Genomic DNA, 24,639 nt, shown 5'->3' on the forward strand with positions numbered 1-24,639 from the left:
TCTTGAGCTCAGGAATTCGAGATCAGCCTGGGCAACATGGCAAAACCTTGTCTGTACTAAAAATACAAAAGTTAGCTGGGCATGATGGCATGCACCTGTAGTCCTAGCTACTTAGGAGGCTGAGGTGTGAGGATGGTTTAAGCCAGGGAGGCAGAGGTCGCAGTGAGTAGAGGTTGCACCACTACCCTCCAGCCTGGGCGACGGAACAAGAGTCCGTTTAAAAAAAAAAAAAAAGAGAGAGGCCAGGCGCGGTGGCTCATGCCTGTAATCCCAGCACTATGGGAGGCTGAGGCGGGTGGATCATGAGGTCAGGAGTTCGAGACCAGCCTGGCCAACATAGTGAAACCCTGTCTCTACTAAAAATACAAAAATTAGCCAGGCATGGTGGCATGCGCCTGTAGTCCCAGCTACTCAGGAGGCTGAGGCAGGAGAATCGCTTGAACCTGGGAGGCAGAGGTTGCAGTGAGCCGAGATTGTGCCACTGCACTCCAGCTTGGGTAACAGAGCAAGACTCCATCTCAAAAAAAAAAAAAAAAGAAAGAAAAAAAAAGATGTCAGGCGCAGTGGCTCACGCCTGTAATCCAAGCACTTTGGGAGGCTGAGGCGGGCAAATCATCTGAGGTCAGGAATTCGAGACCAGCCTGGCCAATATGATGAAACCCCATCTCTATAAAAATTAACCAGGCATGGTGATGGGTTCCTGTAATCACAGCTACTTGGGAGGCTGAGGCAGGAGAATTGCTTGAACTCAGGAGACAGAGGTTGCAGTGAGTCGACACGGTGCCACTGCACTCCACCCTGGGCGACCAAATGAGACTCCATCTCAAAAAAATAAATAAATAAAAGAAAAATCATACACTAGCAAACATAAAACTCTGAAACAACCAAATATGAAACTTGTAAATTAACACTGAAAGTACATCAGAGGCAGAAAGGCCAACTTCTAGATGTACCACCCACTCTCAGGACTGAATACTGTTGAATTAGATCCAAGGGAAGTTATGGGTTTCAAAAAAAATCAGAAGACTCAGAGTCCAATTTGTAGGGAATTAAGAAGAAAGTGATTTGTAAAAAAGTAGAAACAAGCAGGTATAGATCAATCATTCTAGAAATCAGAATAACTCGGTGGCTTTTCAACCCTACCTACAACTAGAATCACTCAGGGCACTTTTTAAAGTGTAGATTCCTGGGCCCTATTCTTTAAGATCCTGATTTAAATCATCTGGGGTACAGTCCAGCATAGTGTTCTGAACTGCTGCTGTGGTTTAGAGTGGACTGTGAAGAAAAAAAAAAAAAAGAACTTGCAGCTGAAAGGTCAATGGTAGTAGGTAAAGCTTTAAGGAGATTGGATTATTTTGGAAGTTTCAGGAAAAAGAGCTGGTAAAGAGGTTAGGGTTATAGATTCAGAGAGAAAAGGGATAATCTAAGGCAAGAGTGAAGAATAGCAAACACACAGGCTATATTAATTGGGTGGGTTGGGTTTCTTTGTTTTTTAGTTTAGTTTTTTTTTTTTTTTTTTGAGACAGAGTCTTGCTCTGTCACCCAGGCTGGAGTACAATGGCATGATCTCAGTTCACTGCAACCTCTGCCTCCAGGGTTCAAGTGATTCTCCTGCCTCAGCCTCCCGAGTAGCTGGGACTACAGGCGTGCACCATGATGCTGGCTAATTTTTGTATTTTTAGTAGAGACGGGGTTTCACTATGTTGGCCAGGCTGGTCTCAAACTCCTGACCTCAAGTGATCCACCAGCACTGGCCTCCCAAAGTGCTGGGATTACAGGCGTGAGCCACCACACTCGGCCGATTGGGTGGGTTTCTAAAGAACTTCCAAATGTTTTGGCCAGGTGAGGTGGCTCACGCCTGTAATCCCAGCACTTTGGGAGGCCGAGGTGGGTGGATCACGAGGTCAGGAGATCAAGACCATCCTGGATAACACAGTGAAACCCTGTCTCTACTAACAATACAAAAAAAATAGCCGGGCGTGATGGCGGGTGCCTGTAGTCCCAGCTACTCGGGAGGCTGAGGCAGGAGAATGGCGTGGACCTGGGGGGCAGAGTTTGCAGTGAGCCGAGATCGGGCCACTGCACTCCAGCCTGGGCGACAGACCCAGACGCAGTGGCTCATGCCTGTAATTCCAGCACTTTGGGAGGTCAAAGCAGGTAGATTGCTTGAGGTCAGGAGTTAAGACCAGCCTGACCAACATGGTGAAACCCCACCTCTACTAAAAATACAAAAAATCAGCTGGTCGTGGTGGCACGCACCTGTAATCCCAGTTACTGGGGAGGCTGAGGCAGGAGAATTGCTTGAACCTGGGAAACAGAGGTTGCAGTGAGCCAAGATTGCGTTACTTCATTCCAACCTGGGTGACAGAGTCAGACTCCGTCTCAAAAAAGCAAAACAACAACAACAACAACAAAAGAACGAAACTATCCAGGTATATGAAATAAGTGAAAGACTGTAAGCCAAATGGCAACATGTCACCTTTTGGCCGGGTGGAGGTTTCCAGGGCACTTTCACTTACTTGAGTTTTTTTTTTCCAAAATGAGTATTATTTTTAATAATCAGACAAAAAGGGCCGGGTGCAGTGGCTTACGCCTGTAATCACAGCACTTTGGGAGGCTGAGGCAGGAGGATCACCTGAGATCAGGAGTTTGAGACCAGCCTGGCCAACATGGCAAAATCCTGTCTTTACTAAAAATACAAAAATTAGCTGGGCGTGGTGGCATGCATTTGTAATCCCAGCTACTCTGGAGGCTGAGGCAGGAGAATTGCTTGAACCCAAGAGGTGGAGGTTGCAGTGAGCCGAGATGGTGCCATTGCACTCCAGCCTGGGAAAATTTTGAATTAAGAAACTTTTAATAACCATTATATGTCTATTACATTTTTTTGAAATATATGAAAACAAGCAAACTCAATATTGTTGGGTCAAAGGTAAATTGATGTAATATTGGAATATGTATTTAGAGTTCTAAAATTATTCATACCCTTTAGCCCACTAATTCCACTTGTAGGATTAAGCTCAAGGAAATGACCAGAAAGAAAAGAAGTAGTGTGTACAAAGATGGTCATAGAAATGCTATTTATAAAACTGGAAAATTGGAAAAATCTCAAAAGTTCAACAATAGAAGTAAGGCTGAGCAAACTGGTACATTGTCAAGATAGAAAACTATGAAACACTGACTAGTGCATGAACTAGGTGGACACACAGAAGTGGTAGCTGAAGTTTAATAAAAAGACATCAAAATCCTTATGTAGGTGGTAATCCTCAGAAAGAGATACCCTAAAGACTGTGCTTTGACATGCTGAGAAGGCTTAGAAGCTGCCTCAGAATCAAGGTCCCTTAAACCTTGCCTGGACTCTCTCTGGAATTTCCCTATCTGATCAAGAGAGCTTCTTTCCAAAAGAAACACAACTGGGGGCCGGGTGCGGTGGCTCACGCCTGTAATCCCAGCACTTTGGGAAGCCAAGGCAGGTGGATCACTTGAGGTCAGGAGTTTGAGACCAGCCTGGCCAACATGCTGAAACCCTGTCTGTACTAAAAATACAAAAATTAGCAGGGCGTGATGGCATGTACCTGTAATCCCAGCTACTCGGGAGGCTGAGGCAGGAGAATCACTTGAACCCTGGAGGCGGAGGTTGCAGTGAGCTGAGATCATGCCATTGCACTCCAGCCTGGGAGACAGAGCAAGACTCCATCTCAAAAAAAAAAAAAAAAAAAAAAAAGGCTGGGCACGGTGGCTCATGCCTGTAATCCCACTGCTTTGGGAGGCTGAGGTGGGTGGATCACCTGAGGTCAGGAGTTCCAGACCAGCCTCACCAACGTGGTGAAATCTCATCTCTACTAAAAATACAAAACATAAATAAATAAGTAAATTAGTCAGTCGTGATGGCAGGCGACTGTAATCCCAGCTACTCAGGAGGCTGAGGCAGGAAAATCGCTTGAACCCGGGAGGCAGAGGTTGCATTGAGCTGAGATCGCACCACTGCACTCCAGCCTGGGCGACAAGAGTGAAACTCCGTCTCAAAAACAAAAACAAAAACAAAACAAAACAAAAAACACAATTGCCTTCCTCCCCTCGCTGAAATCTCAGTATCTATCTCAGAAAAGACAGAAATGCAACCACACCTGGAGGGACTTTTTCACAAAGAGGATCATTAGAAGTTAATTCCTATGTATTTATTCTCCCTAATAATCATTTGGTCAGGCACTGTGGCTCGTGTCTGTAATCCCAGCACATTGGGAGGCCAAGGCGGGTGGATCACTTGATCTCAGGAGTTCGAGACTAGACTAGGCAACATAGTGAGACACCCATCTCAAAAAATTAAATTAAATAAAAATAGAAAAAAACCCTCAGTGGCATGACTAGGCACAGTGGCTCATGCTTGTAATCCCAGCACTTTGGAGGATCACCTGAGGTCAGGAGTTTGAGACCAGCCTGGCCAACATGATGAAACCCTGTCTCTACTAAAAATACAAAAAAATTAGCCAGGCGTGATGGCATGTGCCTATAATCCCAGCTACTTGGGAGGCTGAGGCATGAGAATCGCTTGAACTGGGGAGGTGGAGGTTGCAGTGAGCCAAGATGGTGCCACTGCACTCCAGCCTGGGCAACACAGCAAGCAAGACTCTGTCTGAACAAATAAAAAAAACAAATCATTTTCCGCCTCTCAAATGAATTGTCTACATTCCCTATCTCCCCTCGCCCTTTTGAAAAAGAGGATGTAGGCCTGCCTGGTGGCTCACACCTGTAATCTGAGCACTCTGGGAGGAAGAGGTGGAAGCATCCCCTGAGTCCAGGAGTTCGAGACCAGCATGGGCAACATAGCGAGACCCTGTCTCTATTTTAATGTTTTTTAAAAAAGAGTATGTAAGCTTCTGTACTCGGGGTTGGGTTACTGGGTACTCAATCTGCAATTCCATGCTATGCACATTAAAATAAAATTGTGTTATGTCTTTTCTCCTACTAATCTGACTTTTGTCAGCTGATTTCAGCAAACCTTCAAGGGCAAAGGGGAAGTCTTCCCTTGGCCCTTCACATACAGATGGCAGCTATGCAAAACGGATATGTGAATTAACAAAGATCAGAGAATAACATATGGAGTACTGGCCAGGCGAGGTGGCTCACACCTGTAATTCCAGCACTTTGGGAGGTCAAGGCAGGAGGATCACTTGAGCCCAGGAGCTTGAGACCCTGTCTTTAAAAAAATTAAAAAAAAAAATTAGCCTGGCATGGTAGTGCATGCCTGGGCCCAAGGAGGATCACTTAGGCCCAGGAGGTCAAGGCTGCAGTGAGCTGTGATTGTACCACTGCACTCCAGTGTAACCTTGTCTAAAAAAATAACACACACACACGAAAGGTTATAGTTATAGACTAAATTTGGATTTTTTTTTTAAGAGATGGGGTTTCACCATCTTGCCTAGGCTGGTTTTTTTTTTTTTTTTTTTTTGAGATGGGGTGTCGTTCTGTTGCCCAGGCTACAGTGCAGTGGCGCCATCGCGGCTCACTGCAACCTCTGCCTCCCAGGTTCAGGCAATTCTCCTGCCTCAGCCTCCTGAGTAGCTGGGATTACAGCCATGTGCCACCATGCCTGGCTAATTTTTGTGTTTTTAATAGAGACGGGGTTTTAGCATGTTGGCCAGGCTGGTCTCGAACTCCTGACCTCAAGTGATCCACCGCCTCAGCCTTTGTGGGGAACATCTAGGGCCCGGGTGTAGTGGAATCAACTATCGAGCTTATTCTCTTAATTGCCGGTGCCTAGTACTCCACTGTTCTCCCAAGACAGCAATGCAGTTTCACACCCACAGACATAAGAGGGAGCATAAGCCTTCAGGGAGTAGTTTTTAACTAATGATATCAAATCAGTCATTGAAAAAAATGGGTGCAGCAATGGGTATACCAGAACAAAAGGAAATGGCAGATTGATAGAGGACATCTTTTCCGTTTCTGTTGTTGTTGCTGTTGTTGTTTTTTGAGATGAAGTCTCGCTCTGTCACCCAGGCTGGAGTGCAATGGCACGATCTCGGCTCACTGCAACCTCCACCTCCAGGGTTCAAGCGATTCTCCTACGTCAGCCTCCTGAGTAGCTGAATTACAGGCGGGCACCACCATGCCTGGCTAATTTTTGTATTTTTAGTAGAGACGGGGTTTCACCATGTTGGTCAGGCTGGTCTTGAACTCCTGACCTCGAGATCCTCTTGCCTTGGCCTCCCAAAGTGCTGGGATTACAGGTGTGATCCACTGTGCCCAGCCTTCCCTTTTTATGCCAACCAAGTGACAGGATATACTTATGTGGTTAGTCGCATTACCACCAAAGGGAAATACCATGCAGAATGGAAGGGTTAATTTATTTAAAAATAAGAACAATCTCAAACATACCAAGAAGCACAAAGGGTAATATAATAAACACCCATATACTCAATATCCAGATTTAACCAATGTAAATATTTGGAAATCTCTTTCGCATCCCTCCTCAATCCTATTCATTTCCCTTGCTTCTCAGAGGAAAAACGATTTGGATCTTGGTGTGTGTCGTGCCCTTTAATTTGGAAGTATTTTTGCAGGAAAGAAAGTTTATTCATGCAACCCTTAACTCTTTTGCAATCACAAAAAGAGAGAGAGAGAGAGAGAGAGAGGGCTGGGCACAGTGGCTCATGCCTGTAACCCCAGCACTTTGGGAGGCCAAGGTAGAAGAATCCCTTGAGCCCAAGAGTGAGACCAGCCTAGGCAAAATGATGACACCCCTGTTTATACAAAAATAAAAATAAAAATAAAAAAAATCACACCTGGCCAACATGGTGAAACCCTGTCTCTACTAAAGATACAAAAATTAGGCCAGGTGTGGTGGCTCACGCCTGTAATCCCAGCACTTTGGGAGGCCGAGGTGGGCAGATCACGAGGTCAGGAGATCGAGACCATCCTGGCTAACATGGTGAAACCCCATCTCTACTAAAAATACAAAAAATTAGCCGGGCGTGGTGGCGGGCACCTGTAGTCCCAGCTACTCGGGAGGCTGAGGCAGGAGAATGGCGCGAACCTGGGAGGCGGAGCTTGCAGTGAGCCGAGATGGTGCCACTGCACTCCAGCCTGGGAAGCAGAGCGAGACTCCGTCTCAAGAAAAAAAAAAAAATACAAAAATTAGTCAGGCGTGGTGGTGGGTGCCTGTTGTCTCAGCTACTCAGGAGGCTGAGGCAGGAGAATCACTTGAACCTGGGAGGCAGAGGTTGCAGTGGGCCAAGATCAAGCCTTTGCACTCCAGCCTGGGCAACAGAATAAGAAACCATCTCAAAAACAAACAAAAAAAAAATTAGCCAGGCATGCTGGTGTGTGCCTGTAGTCCCAACTGCTCCAGGAGGCTGAGATGGGAGGACCATTTGAGGCCAGGTGGTTGAGGCTGCAGTGAGCTATGATCATATCCACTACACTCTAGCCTGGGTGACAGAGGCCCTGTCCCAAAAATAAAAAAAAAGAAAGAAAAATATTTTTACCATGTAAGTCTCCATACAAATATAGATCCATAAATAATATTATCATTTTATTTTTAAAACTGAAAGAAATAGCATCATAATGTATATACCATACTGCAACTTTTTTTTTCATGTAACATTGCTTTTGAAATACGTCCAGGTGTTTGTTTTTTTTTTTTTTTTCACTCTTGTTGCTCAGGCTGGAGTGCAATGGTGCCATCTCGGCTCACCACAACTTCTGCCTCCCGGATTCAAGCGATTCTCCTGCCTTAGCCTCCCGAGTAGCTGGTATTACAGGCATGCACCACCACGCCCAGCTAATTTTGTATTTTTAGTAGAGGCAGGGTTTCTCCATTTTGGTCAGGCTGGTCTCGCACTCCCGACTTCCGGTGATCTGCCCGCCTCGGCCTCCCAAAATGCTGGGATTACAGGCATGAGCCACCACGCCTGGCCACGTCCATGTTAACAAATGTAGCTGTAATTAATTTTGTTTTAATAGCCGCTTGTTTTTTTTTTGTTTGTTTTTGTTTTTAATAGGGACTGGGTTTTGCCATGTTGCCCAGGCTAGTCTCAAACACCTGGGCTCAAGCAATTTGCTCGCCCTGGACTCCCAAAGTGCTAGGATTACAAGTGTGACCCACCACACCCGCGCCTTGTTTTTTTTTTTTTTGTTTGGTTGATTGGTGTTTTGTTTGTTTGTTTTTTGAGACGGAGTCTCGCTCTGTCACCCCGGCTGGAGCACAGTGGCGGGATCTTAGCTCACTGCAACCTCCTCCTCCTGGATTGAAGCAATTCTCCCTACATCAGCTTCCCGAGTAGCTGGGATTACAGGCGTCCACCATCACACCCGCCTAATATTTATTTAGTAGAGACAGGGTTTCACCACGTCGGCTAGACTGGTCTCAAACTCCTCACCTCAGGTGATCTGCGCGCCTCGCCCTTCCAAAGTGCTGGGATTACAGGCGTGAGCCACCACTCCGATCTGTTTTTTAATTATTAATTTTATAATGGAGTACTTTTAAAATGCAATAAATATTATAATGAATACTGAGGTACTCAACACCCAACTTCATCATCTATTATCATTGTGCTATGTAGTGCTGTATTAATTCAGATTTTATTTTTTTTTTCTTTCTCTTTCCCCAAATACAGATTTTGTTTTTAAAGAAACAACACTTACAGATATAGTTGTGGCCCCCTGAATCCCTTACCCTGAGCCTAGTCCTCACCCTTCCTTTGTAGACACTATGAGGAATTCAGTGTTTAAAATTTCTTTTTGGCCAGGCATGGTGGCTCACGCCTGTAATCCCAGCACTTTGGGAGGCTGAGGCAGGCGCCCAGGCTGGAGTACAGTGGCATGATCTCAGCTCACTGCAAACTTCACCTCCCAGGTTGAAATGATTCTCCTGCCTCAGCCTCCCGAGTAGCTGGGATTACAGGTGCGCGCCAACACACCCGGCTAATTTTTTTGTATTTTTAGTAGAGATGGGGTTTCACCATGTTGGCCAGGTTGGTCGCAAACTCCTGACCTCATGATCCGCACACCTCTGCCTTCCAAAGTGCTGGGATTACAGGCTTGAGCCACTACGCCCAGCCTCAGTGTTTAAAATTTCTATGAATATTTTTATACTTTTCCTACATATTTTTGATCTATAAACAATATATAGTTGTACTTCAAATGTTTTAAAATTTTATAGAAGTAACATATATACCTCTTTTTTCTTGAGATGGGGTCTCCCTGTGTTTCCCAGGCTGGTCTCAAACTCCTCAGTTCAAGGGATCCTCCCTCCTCAGCGCCCCCAACAGTGCTGATATTACAGGCATGAGCCACCATGCCCTGCCTACATGCTTTTTTCTGTTTGTGGTTGTTCTCTTTTTTTTTTTTTTTTTGGTCACTTAACATCATGTTTCTGAGAATTAATCATGTTGAAAGATGGTAAATTTAGTTTTTCACAGACGTCATATTAGTTCATTCATTTTTTCTGTATTTTTTTATTGTAGGGACTATCCTATATACATTTATTGATTACTATATGATGGAGATTGAGGTTGTTTCCAGATTTTTACTATTATAGATAATATTATTATTGGTGGAGGTCTATTCCAATGGGGCTTTTCCTGTAGCTGCATGTTGTTGGAAACTCCTCATAGACTAACTCTGTGGTTTTGCTTTACTCACAGGACTATTAGTTAGGTCTGTGGGAAGGAACTACAAGACAGTTGCTAAAATTATGAAAGACCTAATAATGTATCTTTTACTGTAGATATTGGCATATTCCACAGATCTGTACTATTATTCTTGAGTGTGATAGCTTAGAAATGAGTATGATTGAACACATGTTTAGAGAGGGTGTCAAATTGAGAACCAGGAAGATCCACCTACTCTAAAAATTACCCTAAAGTAAATTGGTTGTAGAAATTAGATCCCAAAGATTATTGATTTTTTCCATAGGTGAATTTTGAAGCCTCCGTGAATATATCCATATTAAAAGGAGATGAAAGAAGCCAAAATAAAGAATTATGGTATGACGGGATAACTGAATTAAGCATCACTTCTATTAAAAAGGGCTAATTTGAAGATAAATCTATTGAAGATAACTTTTGACTCCAACTCTTTAGAGGAACTTTAGTTCCTTGATGGACAGTGGAAGGAACCTCAACATGAAATTTCTTGAATGAAAATTTATTGACTTAATAATAATAATACTATGAACCTTATGGCAGACATGGAGAGGCATAGCCCAGATCTTCTTTCAAGGAAAGGCTTGTTGCCTCAACTGCTGAGAGTGCTGTCAGTGTACAACGTTCATCCAGCTTTCAGTCCCTTTAGAGAATCATTTCAGTTTCACCCAAGGTTGACCCTTCCAAGGACAACCCACATCCCATGACTGGGCGAATGCATAGACACCTAGCCCACTGTAGGAGCAACCTAGCTCCATAGCTCCCCATGGAGTCAGGGCTATTGGGCCCCCATCACAGCATGATGTCTTCATCTTCCCTCTCCACTCCCTCCTATTCTTTTCAACAAAGGGCACACCCTAGTAAACAACCAGTGCGTTAAATTCCGTCAACATTAACAGATTAATGAAGAAAAATGTGATTATCTCAATAAATGCTACAAGTTACTCTGTGGGAGAGAGAGGCCATATGGAGGAGCACGGAAGCACCAGACACATGAGTGGAGAAGCCATATTGGATGTCCAGCCTGGTCAAGCCCCAAGTGAGAACCACCCAAGCAAGCCCAGAACCACCAACCAAGCCCTACAGAGACAAGAGAAACAATAATAAATCATTGTTTTTGCATCACTTTAAATCTTAGAATGGCTTGTTACAAAGTAGTATTATGAGAACCATAGAATAGAAGAAAACAGCCTATGGCAAAACCCCATCTCTACAAAAAATACAAAGATTAGCCAGGCGTGGTGGTGCACACCTACAGTCCCAGCTACTAGGAAGGCTGAGGTGGGAGGATTGCTTGACCCGGGAGGTTGAGGCTTCAGTGGGCTGTGCTCATGCCATTGCACTCCAGCCTGGAAGACAGAGTGAGACACTGTCTCAACAACAAAAAATAGAAGAAAACTTTCTGGCCAGGTGTGGTGACTCATGCCTGTAATCCCACACTTTGGGAGGCTGAGGTGGGCGGATCACTTGAGGCCAAGAGTTCCAGACCAGCCTGGGCAACATGGGGAAAACCTGTCTCTACTAAAAAAAAAAAAAAAAAGAAGTAGAAAACTTATATAATAATATATAACTACCAAAAGGTATCTATGACAAATACCTTAAGAATGATAAATTTGTAAAATTATTTTCGTGAATGTCCAGAAGACGACTAATAAATACCAGAAGTTCCTAATCAACACTCTATTGGAGGCTTTGGCTATAAGACCTGGGGGCAGAATAATACCCCCACAACACAATATGTACGTGTGCTTATCTGTGAAACCTGTGAATATGTGAATTAGCAAAGGGAGAAAGGAGAATGAAGGCTACAGATGGCATTAAGATTGCTAATCATCTGACCTTAAAATAGATTATCCACGGCTACTCTGGGCGCATTGCCTACGGGGTAGCCCTTCTCTGCAAAGAGCAGTACCTCTGCTGTTATGTGGGTCACTTGAGGTCAGGAGTTTGACACCGACCTGGCCAACATGGCTAAACCCCATCTCTACTAAAAATACAAAAATTATCCAGGTGTGGCAGTGCATGCCTGTAATCCCAGCTACTCAGGAGGCTGAGGCAGGAGAATCGCTGGAACCTGGGAGGCAGAGGTTGCAGTGAGCCAAGATTGCACCATTGCATTCCAACCTGGGTGACGGAGTGAGACTCTGTTTAAAAATAATAATAAAAATTAAAAATAAAAGCAAACAAAAATAGAGCATCCTGGACTATCCAGGTGGGACTAATGTAATCACAGGGTCCTTAGAATTGGAATAGGAAGGCAGGAGTCAAGAGTCAGAGAAAGACATGGTAACAGAAGTAGGATCTGTCCCTGAGAAAGACTGATGTACTGAGAAAAGAACTTCACCCACTGTTGCTGGCTTATAAGATGAAGCAAGGAGGCTACAGCCTGGAAATGTGGGGAGTATCTTGAAGCTAGAGAGAGCATGGAAATGGATTCCGTTCTAGAGCCTCCAGAAGGAATGCAGCCCTTCAGACACCTTGGTTTTAGCCCAGTAAGGCTCATTTCAGACTTCTGACCTCTTGAACTTTAATAAGTTTGAGTTTTAAGTCTTTAAGTTTGTGGTAATTTGTTAAAGCATCTATAAAACTCTAACAGAAAACCAGATATGTATATATTGGTCGGGTGCCGTGACTCATGCCTGTAATCCCAGCACTTTGGGAGGATGAGGAGGGGCGGATTACATGAGGTCAGGAGTTCAAAACTAGCCTGACCAACATGGTGAAACCCTGTATCTTCTAAAAATACAAAAATTAGCTGGGCATGGTGGTGGGCACCTGTAATCCCAGCTACTTGGGAAGCTGAGGCAGGAGAACCATTTGAACCCGGGAGGCGGAGATTGCAGTGAGCTGGGATTGCACCACACTTCAGCCTGGGCGGCAGAGCCAGACTCCATCTTAAAAACAAAAACAAAAAATACCATAAATATATTGTAATATTATATATATAAGGGATATAATGAATAAAAAGTAAGACAAAATGTGCATTTGGGGATGTGTGTATTATTCTTTTTCTCGAAAACACTTTTTAGAAATGCTGTTATTGTTCTAGGTTCTGTAATTGCCAGATGGGTTCTTCTTGCCCACTGCACAGATAAAATGAATTCACTGCAGTAGAGCAAGAGTTTAATTGACATGAGACCAACCACATGGGAGAACTGGGGTTATCACTCAAATCAGTCTCCCCAAAGGCTTTCAGGTTAGAGTTTTTATGGACAATTTGGTGACGGGGCTAGGGAATCGGTGCTGCTGATTGGTTGGGGATGGAAATCATAGGCGTTTGGAAAATGGTCCTTGTGCTGAGTCTGCCTCTGGATGGGGCCATAGAACCAGTTGAGTCACCAGGCCAGGTGGGATCAAGTCTGAAAAATCTCTCAAAAAACCCATTTTAGGTTCTACAATAGTGATGTTATCTATAGGAGCAATTGGGGAAGTCACAAATCTTGTGACCTCTGACCGCATGACTCCTGAGCTGTAAGAGACTGTAGAGACTATACCTACCTTGTGACCTCTGGCCACATGAATCCTGAGCAGTAAGGGATTATACAAACTATACTACATTTTATCAGAGTTCAGACCCCTCCCATAATCCTAATCTTTCGGCCTTTCATTAGTCTTACAAAGGCAGTTGTCAGTCCCTGAGCAAGGAGGGAGGGAGAGACTGTTTATCATCCTTGCTTTCAAGTTAAACTACAAATTTCTCCCAACGTTAGCTTGGCCTATGCACAAGAATGACCAAGGACAGCTTGGAGGTCAGAAGCAAGATGGAGTCAACTATGTCAGAGTTCTCTGTCATAATTTTGCACAGGTGCTTTCAGTTCTAAACTTTATTAAGTTATATTCAGATTTTTTACATTAGGTAAGATGAATAGAGAAAGGAGTACTACAAAGTGAGGAAGAACTCAAACTCCATTTATTATTTAGCTTGGAATTTGAAAAATTATTTCAAACAACATAATGAAGCCACACTCTGAAAATCTGCTTAGGAGATTCTGAAAGTCTACTTCTGAAAAAACTATTTGTAATAATCCACTCAAACTGAAGTGAATTACTAGAATGTAAACACCACATCCCTATTCATATTTGTGTTCTCAATGTGTCATGAATCAGTGAATGAGTAGTACCAAATCTTTTTAAAGCACAGATGGTGTTCGTGGCAGCCATGAGAACGTTCCTTTCAGATCTCCCAGCATGACAGACTGAGGGCCCTGACTGCTGCATTTGGAATCCACCACACTCCCCTAGGCTGCTCTCAGCCAATGACTGAGTGTGGCAGGAAGACAGGCAGGCCTGCTTCTGTGAGACTCAAAATTCAGGTAACTTTGCCTTGAGGATTCCCCATTGGCCTAGTGAAAACTTTCTTAGATGGACTCTACTCTTAACATGCTTCTTACTGAAATTTCCTTTCCTCTCCCTCTCCTTCATATGGGTCTGACCTGGATCATCCTTGCTCTGTTCTTGCTCCAGCTTCCTTCTCATTTTCCTCCATAGGCATTTCCCCTACCAAAATCTCTTGCACATCTGATCCCATTTTTGTGACTGCTTCTTGGAGGATTTTTTTTTTTTTTTTGAGACAGGGTCTGGCTCTGTTGCCCAGGTTGTAGTGCAGTGGCACAATCTTGGCTCATTGCAATCTCTACCTCCTGAGCTTAAGCCATCCTTCCACTTATCCTCCTGAGTAGCCAGGACTACAGGAGTGAGCCACCATGCCCAACTAATTTTTGCATTTTTTGTAGAGACGGGGTTTCACCATGTTGGCCCGGCTGGTCTCGAACTCCTGACCTCAAGTGATTCACTCGCCTCGGACTCCCAAAGTGCTGGGATTATAGGCATGAGCCGCCACACCCAGCCTTTTTGGAGGCTCTTAGCTAACACAGTGGTTAAGTGTATAGGTTTCAAAGGATTCCTTAGATAGGTCATTAAAAACAGACAGGTATTAGGATGTACTCAAAGATTTAGCTGCAAGGATGTAAGTGATAACAACTTAAATGTTCTTCTGAAGGGACTGATAAGGTAAATGATTGTGTAAATGCACAATGGAATTTTAATAAGATAATACTAAAGGTGAATTTAATTTTCTTTTTTTACAGATGGGTCTCATTATGTTCCCCAGGCTGGTCTCAAACTCCTGGGCTAAAGCAATCCTCCCACCTTGACCTCCCGAAGTGGTGGGATTACAGCTATAAACCACTGTGCCCAGCCCTGAATATTTATTAGTATCTTCAACAACCATTGTAAAAAAAAATTTACTTATTTATGTTATAGGACAGCTCCCTGAGCCAGAAGACTCAGAGAGACTCCTGAAAAAGATAATTTACAGATTAAGTATTTACAGTGGTATCTCATTTTTGCAAATGAGCCTAGAAGCCTAGAAAATGGTATAAAAAGACATACACTAAAGTTTTAAAAGGGATTGTCTCTAGGTAGTATTTAAAGTTTCTTGGCCGGGTGTGGTGGCTCACCCCTGTAATCCTAGCGCTTTGGGAGGCGAGGCGGGCGGATTGTCTGAGCTCAGGAGTTTGAGACCACAGTGGATAACAAGGTGAAACCCCGTCTCTACTAAAATACAAAAAATTAGATGGGTGTGGTGGTGTGCGCCTGTAGTCCCAGCTACTCAAGAGGCTGAGGCAGGAGTTGCTAGAACCTGGGAGGCTGAGGTTGCAGCGAGCCGAGATTGCACCACTGCACTCCAGCCTGGGCAACAGAGCGAGACTCCGTCTCTTAAAAAAAAGAAAAAGTTTGTTGTTTTGGTTTATCTATAGTTTTAAATTGGTCTACAGTGAACATGCGTTGCATCTGCAGTAACACTAAAAGTCATTATTTTTTTGCAACCTCCACCTCCCAGGCTCCAGCAATCCTCCTGCCTCATCCTCCCAAGCAGCTGGGACTACAGGTATACACCACAATGCCTGGCTAATTTTTGTATTTTTGGTAGAGATGAGGGTTTCTTCGTGCTGCCCAGGTTGGACTTGAACTCCTGGAATCAAGGGATCCGCCCATCTCGGCCTCCCAAAGTGCTGGGATTACAGGCGTAAGCCACCACGTCCAGCTAGTTTTTAATTAAGCATGATTCTCTTAGGCACTGTTAAAATTTAGAATAGTCCAGGTTGGCTGGGCACAGTGACTCACACCTGTAATCTCAGCACTTAGGGAGGCTGAGGTGGGAGGATTGCTTGAGCCCAGGAGTTGGAGACCAGCCTGGGCAACATAGGATAACTGGTATCTACAAAAAATAAAAGATTACCTGGGCGTGGTGGCACGCACCTACAGGTAGTCCCAGCTACTCCAGAGGCTGAGGTGGCAGGATCGATTGAGCCTGGGAGGTCGAGACTGCAGTGAGCCGAGATCGCAACACTGCACTCCAGCCTGAGCAATAGAGCAAGACTCTGTCTCAAAATAAATAAGTTAATTAAATAAAATAAAACTCCAGTACTGATCAGTAGTGGGATTCAGCCTGCAAATAGCTGCTGCACTCCAGCCTGGGCAAAATAGTGAGACCCCAAGAATATAAAAATAAAAATAATAAAACTTTAAAATTTGTTAGATGTAAACTTTGTTCACCTTCTCAACTGTCTTCAATTGCCCTTCTTTCCGAAGGCACTGCCTGTATCCCAGAGCACCCCGGCACTGCTGCCCTTGCAGAGATCAGTGGCCTGCATGCCCCACTTGTTGAACCTCTCTGTGCTAAGTCACCCTTCATTTCTAGGTTGGCTGAAATGCCACACTGGAGCACAGACTCTGGCTTCCTGAAGGGCTGGATGAGGCAACATGGAAGCGTGAACTCCCTGTGGGGTGAAACTTGACTCTGAGGAAAGGAGAAATAGGAAGGAACCAGACAGACATGCTCCCTCTTCTTTCCATTTACTCCACTGAGTAAGATTTCTTCTTGTGTCCCTTTTGGGAAAACCCCCCTTGCTGAGGAAGAACATGTACAGAGTGACCTACCACGTCTCCTAAAGTGGTGCCAGGGCTCTCAGGGATCACTGTGCAGAGCTTCCCAACTTTCCTCACATCATTTCTTTCTTTTTCCTGTCTAGCCACTCGGGAGTTGAAAATAAGGATAATTGGCCATAATTGATATAATGTACAATACCAAAAAGGGTACTCATAGCAGATCAGGACACGAACTGCTCAGATCCCCCTTAAAGAATTTGCTACTGAATGCAAGGAGTGAGGCTGCATCCAGGGGATGATGAAACTTGCTACCAGGGTACTCCTAGAAGCCTGAAAAAAGCAATGGCCCTCACAGAGACTGTATTAAAATGCTTCCCATGGTATAGGGAAGAGAAAGGGAGTAAAAGGCTCAGGAAGTGGGAATGCTGGAATGGATAAATTACACGGGGCCAAAATAAGGAGTATGTTCTCCAGGAAAGCTCAAAGGACACACATTTACCAAGAGCATTAGTAATATGATGATGGCAGGGGCCCTAGCATGGTGATGAAGTTCAGTGTGGCTCTCCTCCACAGGCCAGGGTTAATGGTCAGTGAAGCAGTCACATAATTTGGCTCACGAATAGCAATGGCGATGAAAAGACCTGAACAACAGAGGCCAGGTGGTAGCACTTCACCACCAAAAGCCAGAGGGTCACAATGTCCACAGTTATGGTTAATAGAAAACAACATCCCTGGGGGCAAAATAGCTGGGCAGCCAACAGGCACTGCTTAATGTACATGATCAAAATAGAGCAAGGGTAGATGAGCAGGAGGTTGAGGGCAGTTACCCAAAAGGATCTCTCTTGCCCAGTTTCTGCACCTAAATCAGTTTTCAGACCTAGTGCCCATTGCTTTAAGAGATGGCCAGATCCCAGTACCAAGAACCCTGCAATACATAGTGATTTCTCCAGTTCTTCTGTGGAAGACATGAGTGACTGTTCACTGGAGTGAGGGATTTACTCCAACATTCCAGGAACTTCTGGAGACAGGGTCCAAGTTGACACAGATACCCAATGACTGGAAACATCATCATGGGCTGTGTTAGAGGGGGGGCCTACAGGGGCCAGTAAATGAAGCCCTGGCCCAGGAGTGAGTCCAGTGGTCTATGAAACTACCTGGTGAATATTTCCCTGGTCCCCAAATATCTCATTGGGATTGACACTGTGGCAGAGTAACCCACAGGCTGTACCTGTTGGTGGGGGCTATGATAATGGGGAAGGTCTGGTAGAAGCCTCCCAAACTGCCTCCCTCCCACCAAGATAGTGAATCAAAACCAGTATAATCCTGGAGAGGGATGGCAGAAGTTAGGGCCACTCTTAAAGATGCAGGCATGCTGGTCCCTAACCTACCTCTGTTTAATTTGCTGGTCTGGTCCTTGCAAAAACCAGACAGATCCTGGAGACTAACGTTCAACCAAGAAATAGACCTGATCACAGCTGCCTGGCCAGATGTGGTGTCTTTCCTAAAACAGATAATACAGTCTCTGGTACACAGTATGCAGCCACTGATTTGGCAAATGTGTTCTCTTCTATCTCAGTTAGGAAAGAAGATCAGCAACAATGTGCTCCAGGGCCATGTTAATTCTTTGACCATCTGTCATAATATAGCCTGAAGACATTGGGACCATCTGGACAAATTGCAGAATATCATGTTGATTCATTCATTACATTGATGACATCATGCTGATCAGGCCAGGATTAGTAAGAGAATACTATCATGCTGGAAATGCTGGTAAGGCACATGCACTCTAGAGCGAGATAAACCGTAAAAAAATTAGGTACTTTCTACCTCAGTAAAGTTTCTGCACATCCTGTGGTCAGGACATTCCCTTAAGAGTAAAGAACAGGCCTGTGTGTTGTTGCCACTGCCATTGTTGTCATGGTGGTTGTGCTGAGCTCTGTGGTTTCTAGAGCCGGCTATGTCCCCTCCCTGCCACCACCCTGAAGTGGATGTTCAAGGAGAACCACTCGCTAGAAAACAGATGCGTGCAGTTCCCGAAGATCAGAGTAAAATATCCTGACCGGGTTCCGGTGATTGTGGAAAAAAAAAGTCTCAGGCTCTCAGATTGTTGACACTGACAAACGGAAGAACTTGGTTCCATCTGACAGCCATTCAGTTCCATCTGTGGCTCAGTTCTTGTGGATCATCACAAAAAGGATCCATCTTCCTTCTGAAAAGGCATCTTCTGTTTGTGGATAAAACAGTCCAGCCTGGTGAGGCATGGTGGCTCATACCTGTAATCCCAGCACTTTGGGAGGCCGAGGCAGCTGGATAACCTGAGGTCAGGAGTTCGAGATCAGCCTTACCAATATGGAAACACCCAGTCTCTACTAAAAATACAAAAAATTGGCCAGGCATGGTGGCACATACCTGTAACCCCAGCTACTCGGGAGGCTGAGGCAGGAGAATCGCTTGAACCTGGGAGGCAGAGGTTGCAGTGAGCCGAGATGGTGCCATTGCACTCCAGCCTGGGCAACAAGAGCGGAACTCCATCTCAAAAAACAAACAAACAAACAAACAAAAACCAAAAAACAGTCCAGCCTAACTATAGGAGAGCTTTACTAGAAGGAAAAAGATACAGATGGAATCTTGTATGTGGCCTCCAGTGGGGAGAACACTTTTGGTTTCCGAGGACCACTGCTGTGCTAGGTGCACCCTTACTGCTTGTGTATCTTGTAAATGTCCTAGCACCTTGGTAAGCCAAGGCAGGAGGACAGCTTGAACTCAGGGGTTCGGAACCAGTCTGGGCAACATAAGGAGACACCCGTCGCTACAAAAAAAAATTAGTTGAGCGTGGTGGCGCATACCTATGGTCCCAAGCTACTCAGGATGTTGAGGTGGGAGGATTGCTTGAGCACAGGAGGTAGATGCTGCAGTAAGCCAAGATTGCACCACTGCACTCCAGCCTGGGTGACAGAGCAAGATCCTGTCTTAAACAAACAAACAAAAATTAAAAAGAAAAGAGAAAAAGGAGCACCAGTTGTGGCTGCGAGATCAGCTGTGGCTATGGAGGCTGTAGTTTGCCCCAATAACCTCCCTCTTTTGTTTTCCCTCGGGAACAGAGGCCTACCAGAGCCCTAGAGGAGATGCTTCCCACGTGTTTTTATGAAGTGGATCCATGTGGCACACAAGGTAAACTGTGGCAGTTGTGAAGATGTGTCAGTTAGATCCCCCTTCTAGAAAGGAGCCACCCCTCAGCTGCAAGGAGTATGGTAAGTGGACACTCCCCACCTGTTAGTGTCTTCAGCATCAGCTTCAGGTTTTTATCCTGTGCTTTTCTCAGGGTGGTCCCCAGCCAATGACTGAGCAAGGCCTGGCTATATCTACCCAATGAGAGGAACTTCTTTTTTTTTTTTTTTTTTTTTGAGACAGAGTTTCGCTCTTGCTGCCCAGGCTGGAGTGCAATGGTGTGATCTTGGCTCACTGCAACCTCCTCCTCCTGGGTTCAAGTGATTCTCCTGCCTCAGCCTCTCAAGTAGCTGGGATTACAGGCATGCGCCACCACGCCTGGCTAATTTTGTATTTTTAGTAGAGATGGGTTTTCTCCATGTTGGTCAGGCTAGTCTTGAACTCCTGACCTCAGGTGATCCACTCGCCTTGGCCTCCCAAAGTGCTGGGATTAGAGGTATGAGCCACCGTGCCTGGCCATGAGGAACTTCTTTAAGGGAAATTTTTGCCTCAGAACTCCCTGTTGGATTAGCCTGCCTGATTCTGCCTCTGCCCCTTCCCCTTCTCTTCCACAGGGGTCGCCTCCATACTTTTTTTTTTTTCGTTTTGAGACAGAGTCTCACTCTGATGCCTAGGCTGGCGTGCAGTGACATGATCTCGACTCACTGCAACCTCCACCTTTCGGGTTCAAGCGATTCTCGTGCCTCAGCCTCCCAAGTAGCAGGGACTACAGGCTTGTGCCACCACGCCCGGCTAATTTTTATATTTTTAGTAGAGACGGGGTTTCACCATATTGGCCAGGCTGGTCTCATACTCCTGACCTCAAGTGACCGCCCACCTTAGCCTCCCAAAGTGCTGGGATTGCAGGCATGAGCCACCGCACCCGGCACCCCATAAATTTTTTGCGTTCCTACTTCTCAGTGTCTGCTTCCGGGAGAATCTAACTGAGACACCAGTGGATTTGCAAATGGACCCCGGAACTGAAGTTGCTCCCTGCTCCCAACCCTGGGATGTGTAACCTAACTAATCTGAACTGCTGTTTTCTCCTATATAAATTAAAGATGCTTATTCCTTTCATACCTACATTTCATGGTTATTATGAGGTGAGAAAATGCTATATAATTTGAAAATCACTATGTAAACTATTATAGTTTTTATGAAAAGTTCTAAAGAGTTAAAGCATTTCCTGAATTACCTAAAGATGCACAATAGTTCTAAAAACTTCAAACAGATAATAGTTTTAAGCCCTTTGAAGGCTGGTATGGTGTATGTGGGGTTTTTCTGTAGCTTTGCTTATTCCCAGGGAGTAACTTATACACTGAGAGATCTTGCTTGGCAATCAGATACAGACCTAAACAAAGAATTGTAGAGTACTATAGTAACCTATCATGGGAATTTTGGTTTGTTTCTCTTCATTTCTAGGATAACAGTTACTAACATAGCACGAACAAGAAACACTGAAACATCTCATTTGACAAAACACAGTGGCCAGTGTATTGAGAGGAAATACTTAACACCTGTGTAACTGTGAACCAATTTTGTGTATCACTATTCTGATAAGATAAAATTTTCTATCCATGAATAAATATAATTTCATGTTATTTTACTCTTAACACCACTTGACGAAATATTATAATTTTAATATACGTGCACATAAAATATTTCTTATAACATTCTTTATTTCCATTTATTTATTTATTTTTGAGACGAAGTCTTGCTCTGTTGCCCAGGCTGGAGTGAAGTGGCGCAATCTCGGTTCACTGCCACTTCTGCCTCCCAGGTTCAAGTGATTCTCCTGCCTCAGCCTCCCGATTACAGCCTGGGATTACAGGTGCCCACCACCACGCTTGGCTAATTTTTGTATTTTTAGCAGAGATGGGGTTTCACCATGTTGGCCAGGCTGGTCTCGAATTGCTGACCTTTAGTGATTCACCCACCTCGGCCTCCCAAAGTGCTGGGATTACAGACATGAGCCACCACACCTGGTCTATTTATTTATTTTGAGACAGAGTCCCACTCTGTTGCCCAGGCTGGACTGCAGTGGTGCGATCATGGCTCACTGCAGCCTTGACCTCCTGAGCTCAAGCAGTTCTCCCACCTCAGCCTCCCAAGTAGCTGGGACCACAGGTGCATACCACCATGGCCAGCTATTTATTTTATTTTATTTTTTATTTTTATTTTTTTGAGACGGAGTTTTGCTCATTGCCCAGGCTGGAGTGCAATCGAGCAATCTCTGCTCACCGCAACCTCCGCCTCCCGGGTTCAAGAGATTCTCCTGCCTCAGTCTCCCAAGTAGCTGGGATTACAGGCATGTACCACCACACCTGGTGAATTTTGTATTGTTAGTAGAGATGGGGTTTCTCCATGTTGGTCAGGCTGGTCTCGAACTCCCGACCTCAGGTGATTCACCCGCCTCAGCCTCCCAAAGTGCTGGGATTACAGGCTGGAGCCACCGCGCCCGGTCTATTTTATTTTTTTGTAGAGGCAGGGTCTCCCCATGTTGCCCAGGCTGCTCTTAAACTCTTGGGCTCAAGCAATTCTTCCAAAGCATTTGGATTACAGGCATGAGTCACTGTGTCCAGCCATCCAGCCAAAATATTATTATTTTTTATTTTTTTCAGACGGAGTTTCGCTCTTGTTGCCCAGGCACTGGAGTGCAATGGCACGATCTCAGCTCACTGCAACCTCTGCCTCCCGGGTTCAAACGATTCTCCTGCCTCAGCCTCCCGAGTAGCTGGGATTACAGGCACCTGCCACAACGCCCAGCTAATTTTTGGATTTTTGGTAGAGACGGGGTTTCACCATGTTAGCCAGGCTAGTCTCGAACTTCTGACTTTGCGATCTGCCCACCTTAGCCTCCCAAAGTGCTGGGATTACAGGCGTGAGCCACCGCACCCGGACTATTTTTTTAAATAATAATTTTTTTCTTTTTCTTGTCCTCTACTCTGAAGAGAACTTGTAAACAAATTCTTTTAATACTCATTCTCTGTATTCACAATTATACATAATGGGATCATGTCAGTAATGCTTTATCAGAAAAACTAGCTTTTTGCAGTTGCTTTTTAGCAAAAAAGAAGAGAAAGTTTTCTACAATGTGCTATTGTTTGCTTAGCTGGTAATTCAAACCTTTTTTCTTTTTTCTTTTTTGAGGTGGAGTCTCTGTCCCCCAGGCTGGAGTGCGGTGGCATGATCTCAGATCACTGCAACCTTCGCCTCCCGGGTTCAAGCAATTCTCCTGCCTCAGCCTCCCAAGTAGCTGGGATTACAGGCACGTGCCACCACACCCGACTAATTTTGTATTTTTTATAGAGACGGGGTTTCACCATGTTGTCCAGGCTGGTCTTGAACTCCTGACCTCAAGTGATCTGCCCACCTCAGCCTCCCAAAGTGCTGGGATTACAGGCGTCAGCCACCATGCCCAGCCCCGTAATTCAGATTTGAAATGGGTTTTCTCTCTTTTTTGCCTTTCAGAACGTGTCTCTGACTTGCATTTGAGATTTGACACAAACTCAGTTACAAACTTTGAAAATTTGTGGTTTCAAATAATGAACTGTACAAAATGTTAAAAACCAGCTGGGCTCAGTGGCTCACGACTGTAATCCCAGCACTTTGAGAGGCCAAGGCGGTCGGATCACCTGAGGCCAGAAGTTCGAGACCAGCTTGGCCAACATGAAGAAACCCCGTCTCTAATAAAAATACAAAAATTAGTCGGGCTTGGTGGTGTGTGCCTGTAATCCCAGCTACTTGGGAGGCTGAGGCAGGAGAATCGCTTGAACCCGGGAGGCAGAGGCTGCAGTAAGCTGACATCGTGCCACTGTGCTCCAGCCTGGGCCACAGAGTGAGACTCTGTCTCAAAAAAAAAATTTTTTTTGGCTGTTTATTCAAATATCAGGACAATACTGAACCAAGTGTTGAAGCTTAGAGTTTAAGATGGACAATACTGAACTAAGTTTGAAGCTTAGCTAGTTCAGTACTGTTCTGTCATCTGAATAAACAGCTGTTTTTACTGAACCTAACAATACAAGGCTAATCCAAACGGTTTTGTATATACTTTAGAAATGTGAATAAATGTAAAAGAACTAATTTCCATTGTGCTTTACTATGGTGCACAACATCTGTGACTTGAATACTAATCGGAAAAAGAATGCCAATAATTATTATAAAGTCTACTAATTTTAAGAATGTGTTTCATCATAGTTTAGTAAGAATAGCAGAGATTGATATGACTGTTTTTGTATATGCATTCTGGGAACTCCCATAATTGAATACAACTTCAAAAGGGCTAAAGCCCAGTGACCTCAAAACGAGGTTCACAGAACAGTACATAATGATGAAACCTGAAGCAATAAAACACCAATGAACTGAAATGTAAACATTCATGCTGTTAGGACATGGCATTTTCATTTTTCATTTTGTTTTGGACTGTTACTGGGCTTTCCTCAGACACCTTCCTTTCATATATTAAACTCTGTCTTTCCAGAAAAGCTTCTGGAATTGTTTTTGTTTTTTGTTTTGGTCTCAAGGGCATTAGGGGAGAACCTAACAGGCTGGGGGCGAGCCCCACATAGTTCAGCACACCGTTCCCCGCGGCAACACGCTACTTCTGAACGCAGGAGCGACTCTCCGTCCGGGCTCCCTCCAGGAGAATGGAGGCAAATGTACATTCGAGGGTCTCAATACCTGGAATTCGAAACGTCTCAGTTCCTCCGCCTTAGTTCCTCTTTTCCCGGGTTCGGAGGCCACCTGTGCAGCAGGGCACACCTGCCACTCTCATCGCCCTCGGAGCCGGCAACCAGCCGACAGCCGGCTCCAGCCCCGGGGAACTGGAGGCTGCGCGGAAGGAAGGAGAGTCGGGAGCGCGGCCGCTCGCGGGCTGGCTCAGGGGACGCCGAGAGGA

At 44.9% G+C, this 24,639-nt stretch overlaps 1 long non-coding RNA gene and 1 other non-coding gene across 3 annotated transcripts in view, besides 1 other annotated feature; one reads left to right on the plus strand and one right to left on the minus strand.

The window, feature by feature from the left end:
- Positions 1-24,635, minus strand: part of LOC124901011 (uncharacterized) — a 52,477-nt gene extending 27,842 nt beyond the window's left edge. Inside the window, exons 1-2 of one of the 2 annotated variants that reach the window (XR_007058835.1) lie at positions 24,423-24,635; positions 10,131-12,538 (exon numbers count right to left, since the gene is read on the minus strand). This is a non-coding gene — a long non-coding RNA (uncharacterized LOC124901011). Of the gene's footprint in view, positions 1-10,130; positions 12,539-24,422 lie in introns of those variants that run through there. The other variant, XR_007058836.1, reaches the window with a different exon arrangement.
- On the plus strand, positions 9,554-9,685 carry LOC124900205 (small nucleolar RNA SNORA18). The gene has a single exon (XR_007059155.1). It is a non-coding gene; the product is annotated as a small nucleolar RNA SNORA18 (small nucleolar RNA).
- Positions 18,309-18,388: an enhancer, noted in NCBI's record as "active region_22721". NCBI's record gives its function as "activates an Ori minimal core promoter by ATAC-STARR-seq in GM12878 lymphoblastoid cells {active_cell/tissue: GM12878}" and the evidence as "EXISTENCE:reporter gene assay evidence [ECO:0000049][PMID:35858748]".

Source organism: Homo sapiens, chromosome 5 (genome assembly GCF_000001405.40).
Source record: "Homo sapiens chromosome 5, GRCh38.p14 Primary Assembly".
In the NCBI taxonomy this organism is placed as follows: Eukaryota; Metazoa; Chordata; class Mammalia; order Primates; family Hominidae; genus Homo; species Homo sapiens.